This window comes from Homo sapiens, chromosome 17, assembly GCF_000001405.40.
Source record: "Homo sapiens chromosome 17, GRCh38.p14 Primary Assembly".
NCBI lineage: Eukaryota > Metazoa > Chordata > Mammalia > Primates > Hominidae > Homo > Homo sapiens.
Window position 1 is genome coordinate 80,366,280 of NC_000017.11, and position 16,653 is coordinate 80,382,932.

The 16,653-nt window shown below is 46.1% G+C and overlaps 1 protein-coding gene and 1 long non-coding RNA gene across 9 annotated transcripts in view, besides 3 other annotated features; one reads left to right on the forward strand and one right to left on the reverse strand.

Moving 5' to 3' along the window:
• The window catches only part of RNF213 (ring finger protein 213), a 137,943-nt gene that overhangs the window by 105,428 nt on the left and 15,862 nt on the right, over window positions 1-16,653 (forward strand). For 6 of the 8 annotated variants that reach the window (NM_001256071.3, XM_047436482.1, NM_020914.5 and 3 more), the window contains 15 exons: window positions 1,469-1,569; window positions 1,682-1,864; window positions 3,223-3,392; window positions 3,489-3,588; window positions 5,595-5,706; window positions 6,242-6,455; window positions 6,696-6,886; window positions 8,179-8,310; window positions 9,481-9,591; window positions 10,022-10,264; window positions 10,603-10,684; window positions 11,483-11,517; window positions 13,341-13,435; window positions 14,552-14,708; window positions 15,268-15,448. In NM_001256071.3, the coding sequence (NP_001243000.2) occupies window positions 1,469-1,569; window positions 1,682-1,864; window positions 3,223-3,392; window positions 3,489-3,588; window positions 5,595-5,706; window positions 6,242-6,455; window positions 6,696-6,886; window positions 8,179-8,310; window positions 9,481-9,591; window positions 10,022-10,264; window positions 10,603-10,684; window positions 11,483-11,517; window positions 13,341-13,435; window positions 14,552-14,708; window positions 15,268-15,448 (2,107 nt within the window). Of the gene's footprint in view, window positions 1-1,468; window positions 1,570-1,681; window positions 1,865-3,222; window positions 3,393-3,488; window positions 3,589-3,925; window positions 5,266-5,594; window positions 5,707-6,241; window positions 6,456-6,695; window positions 6,887-8,178; window positions 8,311-9,480; window positions 9,592-10,021; window positions 10,265-10,602; window positions 10,685-11,482; window positions 11,518-13,340; window positions 13,436-14,551; window positions 14,709-15,267; window positions 15,449-15,980; window positions 16,641-16,653 lie in introns of those variants that run through there. The other 2 variants (XM_047436483.1, XM_011525086.3) reach the window with 2 other exon arrangements.
• Window positions 1-16,653, reverse strand: part of RNF213-AS1 (RNF213 antisense RNA 1) — a 63,339-nt gene that overhangs the window by 14,450 nt on the left and 32,236 nt on the right. The window lies entirely within an intron of this gene.
• Window positions 5,489-6,688: an enhancer, noted in NCBI's record as "BRD4-independent group 4 enhancer chr17:78345568-78346767 (GRCh37/hg19 assembly coordinates)". NCBI's record gives its function as "activates an origin of replication core promoter dependent on BRD2, P300/CBP, MED14 and CDK7 cofactors, and independent of BRD4, by STARR-seq in HCT116 cells {active_cell/tissue: HCT116}" and the evidence as "EXISTENCE:reporter gene assay evidence [ECO:0000049][PMID:35650434]".
• Window positions 10,277-10,477: a silencer, noted in NCBI's record as "peak3024 fragment used in MPRA reporter construct". NCBI's record gives its function as "represses an SCP1 promoter by STARR-seq MPRAs in K562 erythroleukemia cells {active_cell/tissue: K562}" and the evidence as "EXISTENCE:reporter gene assay evidence [ECO:0000049][PMID:32103011]".
• Window positions 14,043-14,543: an enhancer, noted in NCBI's record as "H3K4me1 hESC enhancer chr17:78354122-78354622 (GRCh37/hg19 assembly coordinates)". NCBI's record gives its function as "activates a minimal SCP1, AML or CMV promoter by ChIP-STARR-seq in primed H9 embryonic stem cells {active_cell/tissue: H9 hESC(primed)}" and the evidence as "EXISTENCE:reporter gene assay evidence [ECO:0000049][PMID:30033119]".

Sequence of the window (16,653 nt, forward strand, 5' to 3'; positions counted from 1 at the left end):
TCATTTGATAACTCTGTTTAACTTTATGCAGAGGCACTGTATTGTTTTCCACGGGGGCTGCAGCATCTTTCTTACATCCCCACCAGCCAGGCACCAGGGTCTGAATTTCTCCACATCATGGGCAACACCTGTTACTATCTGATTTTTTTCATAATGGCCACCGTGATAATTCATTGTGGTTTTTATTTGCATTTCTCTAATGACTAGTTATGATGAGCATCCTTCATGTGCTTGTTGGGCATTTGCTGTCTTCTCTGGAGAAATGTCCATTCAAGTCCTTTGCCCATTTTTGAATTGGGTTGTTGATTAACAAAGTTATTAGGATATTAAAAATACACACATCACTTCCAAGTAAGATTAATCCCAGCAATTCAAGGATGGCTCAAAATAAAAAAAAAAAAATCTGTAAATGTCATCAGTTATATAAATTAAAAGATAAACTCTATATGATCATTTCAAAATGTAGAGAGAAAGCATTTGATAAAATTATTTGGAAAGAAATACCCTTGTCAAACTTGGAACAGGAAGGAACTCTCCTTGAGCTCACAATGCCCAAGGTAGACATAATATTAAGATGTCTATACCAACATCATGCCTGCCCATCAAATTCCATTAGTACAGCCATTAAACTATCTTGTACAGTGATGATGTGTATTGCCTAAAAACCAGTGTTTCCACTTCTAACTATATCCTAGAGAAACTTCTCATTTGCTCTCAGACATATGCAAGAATGTTGAATACAGGACTGTCAGGAATTGCAAAAAACCTAAATGCCCATTAACCAGCAGACAGGTAACTGGTGTCTTTATCAGTGGGTACAGGAGTGATCTGGACCTAAGGTATCATGAAGAGAATGAGTTGCAGAAGCCTTTATACAACGTGGTATCATTGATATCAAGTTTTAAAACATTCAAAATAATAACTCCATGTTCAGATATGCTTACAGCTATCCTAAAAGCAGACATTTAGAAATATAGTTATCTCTGGGGAGGGACGGAGGGATGTGAAGTTGTAACTATATGCATAATGTTTTGTTTCTCTAAAAAATGATCTATCGCAGCAGCTTGGGAGGCTGAAAGAAAATTTTAAAAAATTTAAAAATTTTAAAAAATGATCTAAAGCAAATATTCCATAAATGCTGAGATTTCTTAAAGCTTGGTGGGGGGTATACAGATGGTCATTATTATTACTTAAAGTTTGAAATATCTTAGTGAGAGCGGAGGAGACCTTAAAAGAAAAAGAAGAGGGAAAATCGTAACTTGAGAATGTAGTCCCCTGACAAGCAGCATAATCACAAAACGAGCATTCAGAGTTCAAGCGTTAAACACAGGATCACAAAGGCCTCGCACCCCACACCCCACACACACGGCGCAGCCTTGGCCCTGAATGTGGTGCTCCCTCTGTCGCCCGGCCTGGCCGCCCTCAGCCCTCCCCCCTGCTAATGACTCCTGTCCCTGCCTTTCTTCAGTGTCTTCGAGAGAACTCTGACGTGAAGACGCACGGGCCTTTTGAGGCCGTGATGCGCACTCTCTGTGAATGCAAGGAGACAGCCAGCAAGACCCTCAGCAGGTGAGACCTTAGGTTTGGATCTGTGAAGGCGAGAATTCTGAACCTCTCGTGGTTTTCACTTCTTCTGGCCAGTTTCTCTGCTTCAGAACTGATTGCCCTTCTTGGATTCTAGGTTTGGGATTCAGCCGTGCTCCATCTGCCTGGGAGATGCAAAGGACCCCGTCTGTCTGCCCTGCGACCACGTGCACTGCCTGCGCTGCCTCAGGGCCTGGTTTGCCTCAGAGCAGATGATATGCCCCTACTGTTTAACTGCCTTGCCAGACGAATTCTCTCCAGCTGTTTCCCAAGCGCACAGGTACAACACCCTTTCTCTCAAGAAAGCATCCTTTTTTTCATTTTCCTTTTTTGGCAAACACAATATTCAGAAATATAAACTCTATTAACCTTCATTTGGTAGAAAACCTGACCTCAGAGAACTATCATAAGAGACGCCACTTACGTACTTTCATAAATATCTGGTATCTCAAGATTATTCTCTCCCCAAGACATACACATACAGATTTCAGACAACAAATTCAGAGGAACTAAGCCAGAAAGTCTTAACAAAGGTCCTCACCAGAGGCCCAAGGAATGTAGACGCCAGTGTTTTTTTTTTTTTTTTTGAGACAGTGTTTCACTCTGTTGCCCAGGCTGGAGTACAGTGGCACGATCTCAGCTCACTGCAACCTTCACCTCCTGGGTTCAGGCAATTCTCCTGCCTCAGCCTCCCAAGTAGCTGGGATTACAGGCATGCACCACCATGCCCGGCTAATTTTTGTATTTTTAGTAGAGACAGGGTTTCACCATGTTGGCCAGGCTGGTCTCGAACTCCTGACCTCAGGTGATCCACCCGCCTTGGCCTCCCAAAGTGCAGGGATTACAGGCATGAGTGACCACACCTGGCCGACGCCACTGGTTTTAATGCATCAGTATCATTCACAGTCACTGACCTGAGGATCAACCCACTTCTTGTCTAGCTTTTTGGAGCTGGTTAAAAGCAGCTCTGGCTCTCTGGACTCAGCAGGCCTCAGCCCGGCTCTGTGAGTGGTTGGTTTTCTTTCCTTCCCCTTCCCCCCTTCTCAGGCCTCCTAAAAGTGGGGCACCAGGCAAGCCCAGTGGATGGGTTCTTTGACATACTTTGGGATATTGAAGGGTATTGTTGCCGGGTCCAAATGATCAAAGTGTTTCCAGAAAGGGATGCATGTAAATATCATCTGCTGAGGTTTTGAAGACTAGCTCTAACGGGTGAGAGGAGTGACTTGAATCTTTCAATTTAAAAGTAAAATGCCAGCCAGGCATGGTGGCTCACGCCTGTAATCCCAGCACTCTGGGAGGCCGAGGTGTGTGGATCACCTGAGGTCAGCAGTTCGAAACCAGCCTGGCCAACACGGTGAAACCCCATCTCTACTAAAAATACAAAATTAGCCAGGCGTGATGGTGCGTGCCTGTAATCCCAGCTACTTGGGAGGCTGAGGCAGGAGGATCACTTGAACCTGGGAGGTGGAGGTTGCAGTGAGCGGAGATCGCGCCACTGTACTCCAGCCTGGGCAACAAGAGTGAAACTCCGTCTCAAAAAAAAAAAAAAAAGTGAAATGCTGTGCAAATCTCAAGTCATTCTGTAAGGAGGCATTTGGGAAACACCATCCACCTGTCTTCTGTTTCTCGTGTTCTAAGGGAAGCCATTGAAAAGCATGCCCGCTTCCGGCAGATGTGCAACAGTTTCTTCGTAGACCTGGTGTCCACCATTTGCTTCAAGGACAACGCTCCGCCTGAGAAGGAAGTGATTGAGAGCCTGCTCTCTCTCCTCTTCGTCCAAAAGGGGCGCTTAAGAGATGCTGCCCAGAGTAGGTTGCTTTCTTCCTGTAAACCTAGCCCCTCATTTCTTCATCTCGCTTCTGCATGTCTCATGCAGTGAGCTGCCTTTTTCTTTCTGGTTTAAGGACACTGTGAACACACAAAATCTCTCTCTCCATTCAATGATGTTGTGGATAAGACTCCTGTCATCCGCTCAGTGATACTGAAACTGCTTTTGAAGTACAGGTAAGAACAACATGGAGACTTGCTTCTGGAAAGCCCTGGCTTTTTCTCTTCATCGCAGCGTTTTGTTACCAAGTCTTCTTGTCGTGACTAGTAGCTAGTACATGATCTTGGGGAGCTTTTTCGGTGAGACACAGCCTGGTTACTTGTACTGGTTGTGTATTCTGACATTTTCACATATAGGCACATGAGTTTAGTATTCCCACAAGCACACGCATCTAGCAAGAAGCCAACAGTGCCGTGAAGGGACCACAGTGGCGTGAGGGACATGGAACTCAAGAGGCCAGAATCTGTGGTGCTGAGCCTGGTTCCACAGCAGCGCAACTTTCTGATTTTTCAGATGGTAGCTTAGAATCCTGCTCACCCTGAATGTCCTAGATGTCTCCTAAGTTTCTATTCCCCTGAACATGGGCTCTATTTCCTTGGAAAGGATGTTGACATCCAAGAATAGTATCACCTGTGGTACTTGTATGGATCTAATATTGCAGTTCTCAAAGTGTTGGTATGGACCCTTGGGTGTGAGGTAGGTCTCTGAGGTTAAAACTATTTTAAAAATTAGATTACTAAGATAAATTTGCCCTTTTTTAAAAAACATGTTGATACTTATGATGATGTTACAAAAAGCGGTGATGAGTTAAACTGCTGGCCCCTCACGTGAAGACACAGTAGCTGGAGGTATTGTTTTCTTCACCGCCATGCACACGTGGTTTTCTTCATGCCAGTTTCATTTTAGTTTTACTAAATCTTGACTCTTGAGGATTTGACTTTTCAACGTTTTGTGGAAATGGGAAGCACACACAAAACACTCCCACTACACACCGGAGTAGACAGTTGCCTCACAGAAAATCACTCATGACAAGCCCTGGGTTATCAGCCGGCTGCTGTGTTCATGGACCGCCACCCGTGCTGGGAGGAAGGATGCACATGATACAGGTGTCCAGGGCTGGGCAGGCCTCTCCTGGAAATCAGCAAAGTGAGCCAGCCTCAGCCAAACAACTGACAATGTTGGTTGGTGATGATAACATTCAAGCTTTTAAGCTGAAATTAAAATTTTGAAAAGCTTATATTCTCCACTATGAGCTTGTGAGCTTTTGAATACTTAAAGACATTTTGGGGCAATTTGTGGTGATATTAATGAATATGGATTTTTTTTTTTAAAACGTAGAATACAAATGTGTCAACCTTTACAAGACCTGCACAGCCCAGTGAACCAATATTTTCCAAATGACCAATGCCTGATGTCATGAAATCATGTGGGTCAAAAAAGAAAAAAATCTATTTAAAGTATGGGCAGACCTTTTTGATTTTAACATAATTGACTGAAAAATGCACTGATACAGTTTCAGGCTCCACATTGCAACTAACCTCTAGACATGACCATTTATCACTGTGGGCACAGCATTAAGGAATAATAGCCACAATCAGCTGCAAAAACTATTAAAATGTTCCTCGCTATTCCGAGTATATGAGGACAGATTTTCTTCATGTTCTCCCATATGCTGCAGCGATGGGGAGCAGGGCAGGCAGGCCGCTGACTTCCAGGAGCCAGGCCCCAGGGCCAGCACAGGAATGGAAGACCAAACCACTCTTCTCACGGATTCATGTTTTGGAAAATATTTTAAATGTTATTTAACATGTAATAGCTTTATTGTTATTTTAAATGAATGTATATTTTTGAAACCTTTTGTTTTTAATGTCTCATAATTCCTAATATCATAAATATTGATAATATAACCCACATAAAAGCTCTTCGGGGTTCTCAATTTTTAAGACTATAAAGGGGTCCTGAAACCAAAGTTTGAGGACAGCTGGTCTAAAATGTGAGTTTTATATTCCTCCAGTATTATGCTAAAAGGTTTTCCATAAAATCTTAGAAACCACGTATATGTATGTATATGTTTATACACACACACACACAGGACAGACGACCGATAGATAGATGCTCTTTTTTTTAGTAAGGTATGTCTCCAGATCTGAGAGAACCAGGAATAATATTTCTCTTTCTGCAGCTTTCATGATGTAAAAGATTATATTCAGGAATATTTGACCCTGTTAAAAAAGAAAGCATTCATAACTGAAGATAAAACTGAACTGTACATGCTCTTCATCAACTGCCTGGAGGTAAGTGAACTCTCTCTTCCCTGAATTTCTTTTGGAAACTATCTGAACCACATGGTTTAAAATTTACAGAATATAATTTTAGTCAGTATAATTAACGAATGCTCTGTTCCGTGCAGAAAAGAAGAAAGGTTTCAAAGACGCGGCTTCTGCCTTCAGCAACGTATATTTTGGCATTTACTTGCATATACATACAAAACAGAACAGCCTAGGAGAATATACTGCCAAAGTTAACAGTGGTTATCATTGAGTGGGGACATTATGGATACTTTTTATCTTCATATTTTTATATCCAAAATTTTTATAATGTAAATAAATTAGATAATTTTTTTTCCTCATAGGTTCACTTTTCCCCTCCTTCTTGTCCTTAAAATAAAAAGGAATGTTAGGTTTCCATAAGTCAAGAAATTTACACTGAAACCTACAGTAACATTCTTCTATCCTTCCTTCTCCACAGTCACATTGGCGACTGTAGAAGCTTGGGGCATCCATGTTTAAAAAAATAATATCCTTTTCTTTCTTGTTCCTTGTTCCTCAGGATTCAATACTTGAGAAGACCAGTGCTTACTCCAGAAATGATGAACTGAACCACCTAGAAGAGGAAGGTCGTTTCCTTAAGGCATATTCTCCAGCAAGCCGGGGCCGAGAGCCTGCCAACGAGGCCTCGGTTGAATACCTGCAAGAGGTGGCCCGGATCCGCCTCTGCCTCGACAGAGCTGCAGATTTCCTCTCGGAGCCTGAGGGAGGCCCAGGCAAGTCTTCTCTGCCTTGCTTTCCTTTGGGTTTAAAGACTCCGTTATTTAGAAATTCAGGAAGTATGGGAAACTAGTTCTTCGAATAGACTACTACTGGGCTTTTCTACATCCCCTCTCCCCTGGATGTGTTTCTGTGAATGCCTGTGGGTAGGTCCGATGCCCTCTGGTTGGCCTTGTGTCCTACAATAAATGCCCTAAGTCACCAGCCACTCACCCGCTTTCTCGTTGGCCTCTCAGAGATGGCCAAGGAGAAGCAGTGCTACCTGCAGCAAGTCAAGCAGTTCTGTATCCGGGTGGAGAACGACTGGCACCGGGTGTACCTGGTGCGGAAGCTCAGCAGCCAGCGGGGGATGGAGTTCGTGCAGGGCCTCTCCAAGCCCGGCCGCCCGCACCAGTGGGTGTTTCCCAAGGACGTTGTCAAGCAGCAGGTGAGAAGCGGGGCCGGGCAGCACACAAACATGCACCCCCACAGCCCCATACACCCCAAACCCACACACCCCCCTACCCTCACACCCTACCCCCCCCACACCCCACCCCCTCACACCTTCCCCACCACATACCCTCATACCCCCACACCTCACCCTCACACCCCCACACCTCACCCTCACACCCAGGGATGGTGCCACTGCTTCCGCGTTCCGCCTGCCCTTAGCATCCCCAGAGCCAGGAAGGAAACCTGCCGCTTGTCTGTCTGGTCCTTTGTCTCTGTGCTTCAGCTGATTTGCCCCAGCTTGTGATCATGTTTACACTGCCTGCTGTAGGGCCAAGGTGAGGGCACTCACCTCAGAGCTTCTTTAATTAGGCATCACTTCTAATTGAATTTCACTCAAGGAAAGTAGAACATTCTTGTGGCCTTTGCTTTCAGCGAATTAAACGTAGTTCAGCTTGCAAGGTGCGACCTTTTTACCTCTGGCAGGCAGAGACAGGCAAGAGCAAGAACTAGGAATAGAAGAATTGCAGAAGAGGCTTCAAGGCCAGGCTGGGCACAGTGGCTCTCACCTGTAATTCCAGCACTTTGGGAGGCCGAGGCAGGCGGATCACTTGTGGTCAGGAGTTTGTCAAGACCAGCCTGGCCAACATGGTGAAACCTTGTCTCTACTTCAAAGAAAAAAAAAATTAGCTGGACATGATGGTGGGTGCTTGTAATCCCAGCTAGTCGGGAGGCTGAGGCAGGAGAATCACTTGAACCCGGGAGGCAGAGGTTGCAGTGAGCCGAGATTGCACCACTGCACTCCAGCGCCTGGGCGATAGAGCGAGACTCCGTCTCAAAAAAAAAAAAAAAAAAAAGAGGCTTCAAGGCCTCTCAGTGGTCCTTTCCAGATACCCAGAAATTAACAAATTCTTATTGTCCAGGGGATACAAAAATGGTACTAAGAACCCCGGCACTGTTTGACTACCACCTGGGGTTTAGAGTTGACATGACTTGAGCCACCCGGCCTCAGGTGTGGTGCGGTGCGCCGCAAACGGAGGAAGCAAGCACCTCCCCAGGTAGCGCTGCCGTCGGCAGGCATTCCCTGCACTTGCACCTCTTCGTCTACTGAGGAGGAAGCTCCCTGCGAAGAGGGCACCAGACTGTCCTGCCTCAGGCCAGGTCAGGGAATCCCAGCTTGGCTGCCTTTAAACCTCGAATGATCAACCACCTGGTTCCTGTACCCGTTCAGACGGTTCTTTGCAAGACATTCCTCCCATTGTTCACCCCCAACTAACCTCTGTATTCCAGGGGCTGCGGCAGGACCACCCAGGCCAGATGGATAGGTACCTGGTGTACGGCGATGAATACAAGGCTCTCCGTGATGCTGTGGCCAAAGCTGTCCTCGAGTGCAAGCCACTGGGCATTAAGACTGCTCTGAAGGTAGGATGGGCCCGTGGCTTCTCTCTGATACCAGGTGGCATCCCTTGGAGCCTGCATGTTCCCTGGTTTATGTCAAATGATGCAGGGTGATGGACCACTGATGCAGCCCATCACGTGACACTGTATTGGAAGTCACGTGCCCACAGCCTCCAGGGCGCACCTGGCTAGTGTGCGTGAACCAGTGGCTGGAACAGGACAGCTATGACAGTTGAGCTGGGTTGACAGATTTGCTGTGTCTTGCTGATCTGCCAAGTCCATCAGCAGCGCCTTTTGATTTATGCCCATTACTTCCTTTGAGACCCTGCTGGAAAACAGTCTAAGAAAGATGCTGACACAACTATTAATAGCAAAATTCATACCTAGATGTATTCATAATTCAGATATGCATGTGTGTTTAATAAAAATACATATGTTGGTGTAGTGTGGGAAGTTAAAAAATATAAAGATGTTTTTAGAATCTAACCTTTAAATTGGTCTGGTCTTGCTTCCTTTTTGAGTCCCTGTGCCAGGAAAAGAGGAAATGGAAAATCCTCTTTCTGCTCAGAAGTTTCTAAGACCAGTGAAGGAGTCAGAAGAACAGATGGTGATTCCGTTGCTTCTGTCATTAAGCTGGCTGCTAAATATGCGTTGAGTTTAATCTGAGAGTATTTCAGGAACTTTGTAGCCCAAAAGTTGCTCGCCAGAAGACTGCCCATGTGGGGCATGACCCCAGGTGTCCAGGCCTGGAAAAGGCTCCTTCCCTTTTGGTGGGTTGAGGGCTGAGGCATGTGAAAAGTTTCTTTTCACATGCAAACTTCGTGGGCCTCTGGCCCTTAGGTAGATCTGGCAGGCAGCGGTGCGGGGGCGTCTATCCTATAATCCTAGCACTTTGGGAGGCCGAGGCATGCAGATCACAAGGTCAGGAGTTTGAGACCAGCCTGGCAAACATGGTGAAACCCCGTGTCTACTAAAAGAAAAAAAAAAAGAATTAGCCGGACATGGTTGCGTGTGCCTGTAGTCCCAGCTACTCGGGAGGCTGAGTTAGAATCGCTTGAACCCGAGAGGCAGAGGTTGCAGTGAGCCGAGATCATGCCACTGCACTCCAGCCTGGGTGACAGAGCAAGACTCCATCTCAAAAAAAAAAGATGTGTTGAGCTTTTAAATTCTTACTTGATACCCTTGATTTTGCAGGCCTGCAAGACCCCCCAAAGCCAGCAGTCAGCCTACTTCCTGTTAACACTGTTTAGAGAGGTGGCTATTTTGTACAGATCCCACAATGCAAGCCTCCACCCCACGCCAGAGGTGAGTAACCGCCTGCAGGGCTGTGTTCAAAGTCTCAGTATTTGGAGGGATTTTATTGAATAGAATGAAAGTTATCAACACAAATCATACCATAATTTTTTTATCTAGGATAGAGGTTCTCAACCTTGTTATGTGGAGGAACACATAACCAAGCTGTTTAACCCAAAGCTTGTAGAATTATAATGAAAACTAAAGCCAAGAACATAAGATAATGTTTAACAGAATAGAATATCAAAATTAATGCTTACGTATGTGGATGCTGTGTTTGTATATGCACAATTCTCTTCTCTGAAAAATTTCCCCCTCAAATGGTGGTGATTTCTCCATATTTACCTTGATATTTGATGTGTATTTGGTGTCAGTGTATGTCTAAGAGCAATTCACACAATATTCTTTGATACATCTTAATGTTAAGTTTTTTTCCTGTCAGCAATGTGAAGCTGTGAGCAAATTCATTGGCGAATGCAAGATCCTTTCACCTCCTGATATCAGCCGTTTTGCAACATCGCTCGTGGACAATTCTGTGCCATTGTTGAGGGCGGGGCCTAGTGACAGCAACCTTGATGGAACGGTGACAGAAATGGCCATTCATGCTGCAGCCGTCCTTCTGTGTGGACAGAATGAACTCTTGGAGCCCCTAAAGAATCTGGCCTTCTCCCCAGCCACCATGGCGGTAAGAGTAGGCCACAATTCCATCGGCCTTCACTGGAACACCCCCCAGAGCTTGTCACTGTAGAGACCGAGCTGCAGCTGTGGGAACTCTTGAGCATCTTTATCTCCTCAGTTCTCTGCCTTTGTGTCACCTGATTCTTGAGCACACAAGATAGTGACAGACTTGCCTTGCCCTTTGTTATTTCACAGGAAGCTGTTCTGTTTTCTTCACAGACAGCTTGAGAAGTCCAGCAGAAGGAAAGCAGAGTTCCCTTTCTTCCTCTAGGCCTCCTGCTGAGCAGCAGCACCCAGGTGACAAGCTCACTTATCTAGAGCTGTCTCTGTCTTCTTGTTTTTCAGCATGCTTTTCTTCCAACCATGCCTGAAGACTTGCTGGCTCAAGCTCGGAGGTGGAAGGGTCTGGAGCGAGTCCACTGGTACAGTAAGTGTTGGGGTCTAGATGACCCCACACTCCTTTGAGCTTCAAAGGGTGTCCAGATGCTATGAAGCATTGGGTTCGACTTGGGGTCCACGTGGTTTGTGCCTCAGGGTCCAAAACCACCTGCATTCTACCGGTGGCGTCTGCAGAAGACGAATGGCTTGAAGGAGCTGGCACTCCGCCGGCTAGATGATCCAAACCATTTCATTTCTTTGTCGTGTGGAAAAGGCCCTCTGTGATGCACTTCTGTTCTCTGGAATATGCCATTTTGGGAGAAGGGAGGGACTGGGAACCACATCAGAGACGCATTCAAAGGCCCACCACAAAACAAAGTTTTTGACACAAAGCTCTTCTGAAATATATGAAATATAGAACCGGGAGACTGACTCATATAACCCATGACATGTAAATTTTGCTGTTGCCTGAGTAAATATTTTAAAACTAGTTTTTAAAGTTGTTATAAAATATGCTCATGACAAAAAAAAAAAAATCAAGGAAAATAGAAAGGTCTAGAATCCTGTCCACCTTGCCTCCAAAAGTACCCCTGGTATGGGCCTATATTCTAATTGCTCTTTACTTGATAAAATTAATAAAATTAGACTCAGACATTTTTCACTGACAACATACATTTATTAAGCTTCAGGCAGGTGTCATGTAACTTAACAAATTAGCGTGGGATGCTCTGGACAGTCATTCTCATATTGTGGTCAGGGCCAGAGAGTAGAGAGTTAGCTTTCCCTTTTCAATGTGGGTCATTGGGTGAAACCTCATTAGCCAATGTGTGTCCTGTTCTCTTCACAGCTTGTCCCAACGGCCATCCTTGCTCCGTGGGAGAGGTGAGTCTTGGTATTTAAGATAGGGTTTGAGGGGTGGCGTGCACTCCTGGGTTGGAGGAGGGGGATCGTGGGTCAGGAGAGTGAGGCTCTCGGCCTTCCAGGAGAGCACAGGCTCACCGAGGACTGCCCAGGGTGCTCTGAGCAGGGCAATGCCAATGGCGCTAAGGGTTTCTAGCCCAGGGCTTCTCAGACTCAGCACTGTGGACGTGGCTCTGCGGCGTGGGCTGTCCTGTGCACTGCAGGCTGTCTGGCAGTATGCCTGACCTCGAGTCCCTGGATGCCAGGAGCACCCACTCCTCCCAGTGTGACAGCTAAAACCAGACATTGACAAAGGTCCCCTAGGAAAGAAAATTGCTACTGGTTGGGAACTGCTGCTAGCCATTCTTTCTAGCCACTGCAGCATGGGGTCAGTGAGCCTTGTCTTGATAGAATGGCAAGGTGTTGCCTGGACCACAGGCTGCATTATTAGCCCTCAGAGGAGGTGTGGTCCAGATGCCAAAGGAAAAAGCCACGTGTAGGCTGTGCGCCATGGGGGAAGAACTGTTGATTATTCCTCTCTGGATTCCCAAGCATCTAGCCTAGAGCCCTCCATACACAGTATCTGTACTTGCTGAGCAAGAGGCTGGTGGGTTGAGCTGACACGTGGTAGTTAGTTATTAGTATTACTTACTTGGTTGAGATATGTCTGGCTCTCTTACCCAGGCTGGAGTGCAGAGTGACATGATCATAGCTCACTATAAACATTGAACTCCTGGGCTCAAGCGATCCTCCCGCCTCGGCCTCCCAAAGTGTTGGGATTATGAGCCACTGTGCCCAGCCTGATACACGTCATTTAATAATGTATATAAGAGATACGGAGGGAGAAAAACTGTTACATACACTTCATTTTTCTGAGCTTCAATCACTTCCTTGTCCATGAAATGAGGACGCTGAAATAGAGTCTATCCAAGAATGCTCCCAGCTCTGAAATTCTGTAACTGGTTTGGTGTGTTATCAGCCGTGACTCTCAGTATATTGTGGCACAATATCTGATTTTGAAAAATAAGCCTTTGGAAGTAGATTATGTGATTAGATTTTTTTAAATAAAAAAGTCCAAGCCAGGTGTGGTAGGTCACACCTGTAATCCCAGCACTTCAGGAGGCTGAGGCAGGTGGATTGCTAGATCCCAGGAGTTTGAGACTGGCCCGGGCAACATGTTGAAACCCCGTCTCTACAAAAAAACACAAAGCATCAGCAGGGCATGGTGGTGCATGCGTGCATGCGTGCATGCGTGTGGTCCCAGCTACTTGGGAGGCTAAGGTAGGAGGATTGCTTGAGCCTGGGGAGGTCAAGGCTGTAGTGAGCCGTGATGGTGCCACTGCACTCCAGCCTGGAGGACAGAGCGAGGCTCTGTCTCATAAAAATTGATATATGAAAAAGTCCAAATGAATATAAGGAAGTCAGTTTGGAAGCTCTTCTAGTATTCTTGGTATTAGATCATGAAGTGCCACAGGCTAGTGTGATAGATGGAGGGATGGAAAAAGTGCTGAATACAAGAAAGGAAGGTTGAATTTTATATATTTGTCTATAAAGTGTCACTCTGGGAATAAAGCTTAAATTGTCTCACTTATTTAAAAAACAGTTCCAGTTTGCCCACGTGCAACATTAGTGAGTACCTACCCTGTTCCCATGGGTTCTCCACCCACCCGAAACAAGCACACACTGGGACAATCTGAGGGTGCTCACGTCTGCCGGTGATAAGGAGGTGTTCATTTGCATGATGGCATTTGTGCATAAAATGGTACTGCTCCAGAAGTGGTTCTAGTGCCCTGTCTTCACCCTAGTGTGGCAGGCCGATGGAACAGAGCATCTGCATTGACTGCCATGCGCCGATTGGAGGCATTGACCACAAACCTCGGGACGGCTTTCATCTGGTCAAGTATGTGGGTCAGGATTCTATTTCCTAAGTACTCAAACTTTGGGGTGTTGGGCTGTTTTTATTCCAGCTGATAAAGTGATACTCAAGATAGTACTAATTACTCCAGTACATGTGGGCCTGTGTCATATTGAATAGCAATGCCAAAGTCCCAGCAGTCACACAGCAGGGAGGCATCTGATCTGTTGTTGGATCCCTGGGCCCTGAAATGCAAAGCAGGCTACCCTTTAACAGCTGTTAATATGAATACAGGTGTCTTCCTTTTGGGCCTTGGGTGCACCTTCTGTAGAAATATGCATGACATAAACAGATGATCTAATTCACGAGGACATCTATGTCTGCAGGACCAAAACCTGGGCATCCGTCTGTCTCAGCAGATGCCATCTCACTTGCCAGCAATCTTAGCTTTCTCCATTTTTTATTTTTTGAGAAAAATGAAGGAGACAGACATAGTCTTATGAAATACCAGACTTCAGAATCCAGGTACAAATCCGATCCCACAATCCCATGCTGAGATGAATGTGGTTCTAAATGCTCCTTTCAGAGAGTGAGTGGGACCTGCGTGGGGGCCTCACATTCTGACTGTTCCCTGCAGTCACAGCTTAAAATACTTTCATGTTATCTCCAGAAACTGTCACAGTGTCCTCCATCCTCTAATAGTTTTGCCACTGAGAGCATCGGCCACACTGCATCTCCTCTCTGCCGGACTTTAGATCCCGGTTTTTCCTTTGGGGAGATGAGAACAATATGGACACCCATGGGATGCCGACTGTCCTCCCAAACTCTAGCTGTTCTTAGCCCAACCGCTCCTCTCCTGACAAAGACTTCAGTGGAAAAGACGGGTCCAGGCCTGCGTCTTAACACCCTGCCCGGGGATCAGCATCAATACCACACAGCGCAGCCACCTGACGCTGAGAATGCGGTCGGGTCTGGTCCACCGGAAAGGCGAGTCTATCATGAGAGAGACTCTTAGGAACATGGTCCAGGCTTTGTGGAACAGCAAGTACTCTTCACATAACTCTCTTCTCAGCCGTAAGCCTCACTCCAAGTGCTGAGAAAGTGCAGCGTGCCAAAGCGGCCAGCCTCAGCCTCTGTCTTGTGTTCTCTCGTTCTTTCCAGAGACAAGGCAGACAGAACGCAGACCGGCCACGTGCTGGGCAACCCGCAGCGGAGAGACGTGGTGACATGTGACCGAGGGCTGCCCCCAGTGGTCTTCCTCCTTATCCGGCTACTCACTCACTTGGCTCTGCTTCTGGGAGCGTCCCAGAGTTCCCAGGTATAACCCAGTGCTGCCAAACAATGGGCTCAGTTAAGAACCTGCTTTCGCTTCTTCCCAGGGAGTCCTTTTGTCTTGAGTCCTAGCTGCCATCTATGCGTTTTGGAGATAATTAGTCTACAAAGTAATATACAAGTTATACATCTTCATGTTTCCCCCTGTGGCGTATGATGGTATGGGGGGAACTACTCCCCAGATTATACAGAATCCACTTCAAATTAACACTCTGTGTCTCTGGTCCACATCTGGGAGTAGAGAGGCTGACATCTTCATTATTTTACCTGTGTCTTCATTGTAGCTAGGGAAGAAAGAGCACACTGCATAACCAAGATGGCCAACAGTACAATCTGGATATTCTTTATCTCACTGTAACAACAGAAAAGCCAGCAGCCGTTCCGCTTGCTAGCCTTCCTTTCACCTGGATCACTCCGCCGTTTTCATCTTAGAAACCGCCTTCCGACTCTATGCTGGTGCTCCACTCCCAATGGCCTCTACCAGGCTCACCATCTTCTCTACAAACCAGATCCCCGCTGAACACTCTGTTCCGTTGCCCCCACAGGCTCTGATAAACATCATTAAGCCTCCAGTGAGGGATCCAAAAGGCTTTCTGCAGCAGCACATCCTGAAGGACCTGGAGCAGTTGGCCAAGATGCTGGGACACAGTGCCGACGAGACCATCGGCGTGGTCCACCTCGTCCTGCGCAGGCTTCTCCAAGAGCAGCACCAGCTCTCTAGCAGAAGTGAGGAAAGGGGCAAGGGCTGGGCGGGGATCACACAGCACAACGGCAGCGCAAGCAGGCTCGCTGTCTTGTGGGCCACCCCACACACAGCCAGTCTGAGCTCTGTCTGTGCTGTTGCTGGAAAGAATGAGAGAACACACAGAGAGAAAACCGTGTCTAGGGAAGGCGATGCCTGGGGCTGGAAAAAGGAAGCACTCTGCTTGCCCAGAGGCTGGAAGGAGCTGCTCTGTTCCCTCCATTCACCCCTGCCTGGCTAAGACCTGCGGTATTCGGGAGCGTCTGCACGCAAGTGTTCAGTGTGCATATATGGGGAGTCTTCAGTTCCGAAGTCAGCCCCGTAGGTCATTCCCCTACCATGCTGGGAGCACGTGTCGTCCACACAGAGCGTGCGTGTCAAAGGATCAATCACCATCACAGTTGTGTGCTGATTTATTAAATGTTTATATGTCCACAGTTATGTTAAAAAAAAAAAGCTATAAAATATTGTATTCACTGAGCTAACTTTCTATTTTAAAAATTTAAATCCATACAGAAAGAAAAGGTCTGTAAGACAACTTAGTAAAATGGTTATATGGTTATCTGTGAGTGGTGGAATTAAGAGTGATTTTCTTTTGCTAATCTGCAAAAATCACAATGACCATTGTGAGGACAATGTTAATTTAAAATAATAACAATAATAGCAAGAAGAAGTCCTGCCCCATGACAAGAAAATCTGCTCCCACCTCAGGTACTTCTTTGCCTGAAACTGGCATTCCTATTTATTTTCCATTTTGAACAATCTGATTTTATTTTAAGCCTCTTATTCTGGTGGGATTTCAGCAAAGTGAGCACACCCAGAGTCACACTGATGAAATGACAGAATCCTGGAAGCAGGTGGACAGTTCCCGCAGCACTCCACATCTGTGTGGTCTGCCTCAGGGTTTGGGTGGCAGCAGCTGAGACGGCTGGCGGTAGCCTGGGCCACTCTTACTATTGAGCTCAAGTTCTGTTCTTTCAGTAATTTTTTTCAAAATGGGTCTAAGATTACAATTATGTAGGATAGAGGAATTTTTAGAGATTGATGTTATCTTCAAAAGGTCATTAAGTTGGTGGTAACAACAGGAACTACTTCAAAATACTTAGATTAATTTAGAAAGCTATTACCTCAAAACGAGTGTTATTTCTATTAAACACTTATTTAGGGTTTATTATACGCAGACTGCTGT